The 6,000-nt window shown below is 48.0% G+C and overlaps 2 annotated features.

Annotated features, from left to right (window-relative positions):
* Positions 2,687-2,946: an enhancer, noted in NCBI's record as "active region_2354". NCBI's record gives its function as "activates an Ori minimal core promoter by ATAC-STARR-seq in GM12878 lymphoblastoid cells {active_cell/tissue: GM12878}" and the evidence as "EXISTENCE:reporter gene assay evidence [ECO:0000049][PMID:35858748]".
* Positions 3,928-4,529: an enhancer, noted in NCBI's record as "H3K4me1 hESC enhancer chr1:203722055-203722656 (GRCh37/hg19 assembly coordinates)". NCBI's record gives its function as "activates a minimal SCP1, AML or CMV promoter by ChIP-STARR-seq in naive H9 embryonic stem cells {active_cell/tissue: H9 hESC(naive)}" and the evidence as "EXISTENCE:reporter gene assay evidence [ECO:0000049][PMID:30033119]".

Raw genomic sequence — 6,000 nt, 5'->3', positions numbered from 1 at the left:
TTTTGTATTTTTAGTAGAGATGGGGTTTCACTATGTTGGCCAGGCTGGTCTCGAACTCCTGACCTTGTGATCCGCCCACCTCGGCCTTCCAAAGTGCTGGGATTACAGGTGTGAGCCACCGTGCCTGGCCTAAAAATTTTTTTGTAAAATTTAGCCAGGCATGGTGGCAAACACCTGTAGTCTCAGCTACTGGGGAGGCTGAGGCAAGAGGTTTGTTCAAACCCAGGAATTTGAGGCTGTAGTGAGCTATGATTAGCTATGATTGCACCACTGCACTCCAGCCTGGGTGACAGAGCAAGACTCTGTCTCTGAAACAACAACAAAAATAAACCAAAATTATTATTTTAAAAAATGTGCCCCAAGTACCACCACCTCTGTGAGCCTTTCCCTTCTGAGACCTGGGTTTCCTCTTCTGTGCCCCCATCACACTGTGCATGCATCTTTGTGAGAGCATCTCTCAAGTCGCTGGAGTTATTTGTTTAAATGTTTGTCTCCCCAAGTAGACTTTGAGAACCTGAGGGCAGGGGCTATGTTTTATTTATTGCATATCTGGCATTTAGCACAGTGCCTGACCACAGGAGTTAATTGGGCCATCTGAAAAGGTCTCTTAGGTGCTCCTTGCTGCTGTGAATTTGGGACATAAATGTGTGACGGTGTCAGAGGTGTTCGAACCACAGTGACTGCATCTTGAATAGGGGAGGGGTAAAATAAGTCTGAGACCTACTGGGCTGCATTTTTAGGAGGTTAAGGCATTATTAGTCACAGGATGAGATAGGAGGTCGGCACAAGATACAGGTCACAAAGGCCTTGCTGATAAAACAGCATGTAGCCGGGCGCAGTGACTCACACATGTAATCCCAGCACTTTGGGAGGCTGAGGTGGGCAGATCATGAGGTCAGGAGATCGAGATCATCCTGGCTAACACAGTGAAAGCCTGTCTCTACTAAAAATACAAAAAAATTAGCTGGGCGTGATGGTGCATGCCTGTAGTCCCAGCTACTCGGGAGGCTGAGGCAGGAGAATCACTTGAACCCAGGAGGCAGAGGTTGCAGTGACCTGAGATCGTGCCACTGCACTCCAGCCTGGTGACAGAGCAAGACTACAAGACTCCGTCAAAAACAAAAACAAAAACAAAAACAAAACAACCAACCAAACAACAACAACAAAAAAAACACAAACCGCATGTGGTAAAAAAGCCCTAAACCAAGGTGGCAACTTCTGGTAATTCTCACTGTTTATTATACACTAATTATAATTCATAAGCATGCTAAAAGACTCTCCCACAAGTGCCGTGAGAGTTTACAAATGCCATGGCAACATCAGACCCTATATGGTTTAAAAAGGAGAGGAACCCTAAGTTCTGGGGATTGGCCACCCCTTTGCCAGAAAACTTATGAATAATCTACACCTTGTTTAGCACATAATCAAGAAATAATCATTAAAAAGTAGCCAACCAGCAGCCCTTGGAGGCTGCTCTGCCTATGGAGTAGCCATTCTTTATTCCTTTACTTTCTTAGTAAACTTGCTTTCACTTTATGGACTCACCCCAAATTATTTCTTGTGCAAGATCCAAGAACCCTCTTCTGGGGTCAGGATTGGGACCCCTTTCCAGTAACAATAGGATGGGCCATGGAGGAAAAAATCAGCAGCTAATGTTTTTTCCTGCTGTGCTCTCCTTAGCCAAAGAAAAAAGACTGTCCTCTCTATTCTCATAGGAAGGGTAACCTGCGCCCTGTGTTGGGTCTCCTTTGCCCTACCAAAGTGTTAACAGTAGCTTTTGCGGCCGGGCATGGTGGTTCACTCCTGTAATCCCAGCACTTTGGGAGGTCGAGGTGGGAGGATCACTTTGAGCCTGAGTTCAAGACCAGCCTGGGCAACAAAGCAAGACCCTGCCTCAAAAAACAAAAAAACCCAGTAGCTTTTGTATTTCTGTGCTTCCTTTTTTTTTTTTTTTGAGACGGAGTTTCGCTCTTGTTGCCCAAGCTGGAGTGCAATGGCACAATCTCAGCTCACTGCAACCTCCTCTTCCCAGGTTCAAGTGATTCTCCTGCCTCAGCCTCCCAAGTAACTGGGATTACAGGCATGCGCCACCATGCCCGGCTAATTTTTGCATTTTTAGTAGAGACGGGGGTTTTACGCTGTTAGACAGGATAGTCTTGATCTCCTGACCTCGTGACCCGCCTGCCTTGGCCTCCTAAAGTGCTGGGATTACAGGCATGAACCACCACACCCAGCATTTCTGTGCTTCCAAATGCCAAAATTGGGCCGGGCATGGTGGCTCATACCTGTAATCCCAGCACTGTGGGAGGCCGAGGCAGGTGGATCACAAGGTCAGGAGCTGGCGACTAGCCTGGCCAACATGGTGAAACTCTGTCTCCACTACAAATATAAAAATTAGCTGGGCATGGTGGTGTGTGCCTGTAGTCCCAGCTACTTGGGAGGCTGAGGCAGGAGAATTGCTTGAACCTGGGAGGCGGAGGTTGCAGTGAGCTGAGATCATGCCATTGCACTCCAGCCTGGGCAACAGAGCAAGACGCAGTCTTGAAAAAAAAAAAAATGCCAAAACTGTCCTGTGTGAAAGACAATCCTAATCAGACTTTGTTTTTGGTTTGAGGGCTGGGACAACTATGATACGAAGAAGACACAGGAAGCCTTAATGGTGGCAACCCCCACCCACCCTTCCTCATGTATTTGCATATATCCTGGAGGCCTCTCCAGTCCAGACAAGTCTGAAACAGAAAACAAAGGCAGCAAATGCCTCCTTTTGAAGTTAAAGTTGTGAGAGACCGGGGTTAGGAAAGAAAGATTTAGAAAAGTACAGAAACATTTCTCTGCTCCCTGTCCCCTCTCTACCCGAGACCCTTGAGAAGAGTGAGGAGTATGTATTTGCAAGCAAAGAGTGTGTGAGCAGACTAGAGGAAGTTTCTGTTCCCCCGCTTAGGCCAAACCCTAATGGAAGAGGTGGGTTGGTACTGCTGATGGGTAAGAGAACCCTTTTCTTTTTTTTTTGAGATGGAGTCTCACTTTGTTGCCCATGCTGGAGTGCAATGATGCGATCTCAGCTCACTGCAACCTCCACCTCCCAGATTCTAGTGATTCTCTTGCCTCAGCCTCCCAAGGAGATGGGATTACAGGCATGTGCCAGGCTGGTCTTGAAGTCCTGACCTCAGGTGATCCACCCGCTTCAGCCTCCTAAAGTGCTAAGATTACAGACATGAGCCACCGCGCCCGGCCTGAGAACCGTTTCTTTCTTTCTTTTCTTCTGTTTCTTTCTTTCTCTTTCTTTCTTTCTTTCTTTCTTTCTTTCTTTCTTTCTTTCTTTCTTTCTTTCTTTCTTTCTTTCTTCCTTCCTTCCTTCCTTCCTTCCTTCCTTCCTTTCTCTCTTTCTTCTTTCCTTTCTCTCTTTCTTTCTCTTTCTTTTCTTTTCTTTCCTTCCTTCCTTCCTTCCGTCCTTCCTTCCTTCCTTCCTTCCTTCCTTCCTTCCTTCCTTCCTTCCTTCCTTCCTTCTTTCTTTTCTTTTTTTCTCTTTTATTTTTTGAGATGGAGTTTCTCTCTTGTTGCAATGGTGCGATCTCGGCTCACCACAACCTCTGCCTCCTGTGTTCAAGTGATTCTCCTGCCTCAGCCTCCCACGTAGCTGGGATTACAAGCGCCTGCCACCACGCCCGGCTAACTTTTGTATTTTCAGTAGAGATGGGGTTTCGCCGTGTTGGCCAGGCTGGTCTCGAACTCCCAGTCTCAGGTGATCCGCCCTCTTCGGCCTCCCAAAGTGCTGGGATTACAGGCGTGAGCCACTGCACCCAGCCTAGAACCCTTTTCTTAAGTCTGGTGCCCCGAGAGCAAAGCAGGCCTCTGCCTCCTTGTTCCTTCTGGGGTTCTCTGTTTGGCAGCCTCCCCAGTGTCCCTTGAGACCTACCAGCTGCACAGCCACAATGCGGAGGTAGCTGTGAGGCGTGTAGGGATGAGCAAATACCTGCGAGCAGCCCCACACTGTCCCTCAGCCCAGAGGGAGTGAGTGCGAACAGCCCACTGTGAGTGAGCCAGCCTCTCTCTTTCAAGCACACACACACACAGATTCGGACCCCAGAGCTGTGCAGAAAGGGGGCACTCCTTAGCAGAGGGGGCAGGGTCATTAGTCACGTCAGGACTTAGATGAGGGCACAGCGTGTCTCCATGGAGGTGAGGAGGGTGGAGGGCCTGCCTGGGGACCAGACAGTGAATGTGACAACAGGAGTGGGGGACCAGAACAGGGAAGGCACAGGTGAAGGCATTCTTTTTGGTGCCTGTCTTGAGTGAGTAGAACATTTCACTTACTAACCGGGGTGTTATTTCTTTTTTTTTTTTTTTTTTGAGATGGAGTCTCTGTTGCCCAGGCTCGAGTGCAGTGGCGTGATCTCGGCTCACTGCAACCTCCACCTCCCAGGTTCAAGTGATTCTCCTGCCTCAGCCTCCCAAGTAGCTGGGATTACAGGCACCTGCCACCACGCCTGGCTAATTTTTGTATTTTTAGTACAGATGGGGTTTTGCCATGTTGATTAGGCTGGTCTCGAACTGCTGACCTCAGGTGATTCACCCACCTTGGCCTCCGAAAGCGATAGGATTATAGGCATGAGCCACCGCGCCTTGCCCCCCACCCCGCTTTTTTTTTTTTTTTTGAGATGGAGTTTTAGTCTTGTTGCCCAGGCTGGAGTGCGATGGTGTATCTCAGCTCACCGCAGCCTCCGCCTCCTGGGTTCAAGTGATTCTCCTGCCTCAGCCTGCCGAGTAGCTGGGATTACAGGCGCACACCACCACGCCCAGCGAATTTTTTGTATTTTTAATAGAGACAAGGTTTCATCATGTTGGCCAGGCAGGTCTCAAACTCCTGACCTCAGGTGATCCACCCACCTTGGCCTCCCAAAGTGCTGGGATTACAGGCATGAGCCACCACGCCCGGCCTCCTCCCTGGTTCTTATTACCACTTGACATGCTGTATATTTACTTGTTTCTTTAAATTTTAAAATTTAATTTATTTTAATTTTTTAGCAATAGGGTCTCATTCTGTCCCTCAGGCTGGAGTGCAGTGATGTGATCATAGCTCACTGCAGCCTCGAACTCCTGGGCTCAAGTGATCTTCCTGCCTCAGCCTCCTGAGTATCTGGGACAACAGGTACACACCATCATGCCTGGCTTACTTGTTTGTTTCTCCTCCACAAGACTACATTCTAAGAGGTAAGGGACTTTATTCTGTTTATCCGCAGTGCCTGGCACCATAAATACTTGTTAAATGAGTGAGTGAGTGGATCAATATCCAAGGGGGAGGAGACAAGAGGACAAAAAATGACTAAAGAGAGACCTCTCACTGATCTTGGTGAGTGCAAGCTAGTTCAGTGCTAGATTTGATTTAGAAAAAAATAAGGAGGCTTGGTGTGGTGGCTCATGCTTGTAATCCCAGCACTTTGGGAGGCTGAGGTGGGCGGATCACCTGAGGTCAGGAGTTCAAGACCAGCCTGATCAACATGGTGAAACCCTGTCTCTACTAAAAATACAAAAAAAAAAAAACCAAAAAAAAAAAAAACCAAAAAAAAAAACAAAAAAAGAAAAAAAGAAAAAAAAAATTAGCCGGGCTTGGTAGCACACACCTGTAATCCCAGCTACTTGGGAGGCTGAGACAGGAGAATTGCTTGAACCCAGGAGGCGGAGGTTGTAGTGAGCCAAGATCCCACCATTGCACTCCAGCCTAGGCAATAAGAGTGAAACACCAGCTCAAAAAAAAAAAAAAAGAGGCTGGGCGCTGTGGCTCATGTTTGTAATTCCAGCACTTTGGGAGGCCAAGGTGGGTGGACCACCTGAGGTCAGAAGTTCAAGACCAGCCTGACCAACATGGAGAAATCCCATCTCTACTAAAAATACAAAAATTAGCTGGGTGTGGTGGCACACGCCTGTAATCTCAGCTACTCGGGAGGCTGAGGCAGGAGAATCCTGTGAACCCAGGAGGCAGAGGTTGTAGTGAGCCGAGAT

Source organism: Homo sapiens, chromosome 1 (assembly GCF_000001405.40).
Source record: "Homo sapiens chromosome 1, GRCh38.p14 Primary Assembly".
NCBI classification, from domain to species: Eukaryota; Metazoa; Chordata; class Mammalia; order Primates; family Hominidae; genus Homo; species Homo sapiens.
This window is presented reverse-complemented; position numbering and strand designations above follow the sequence as displayed.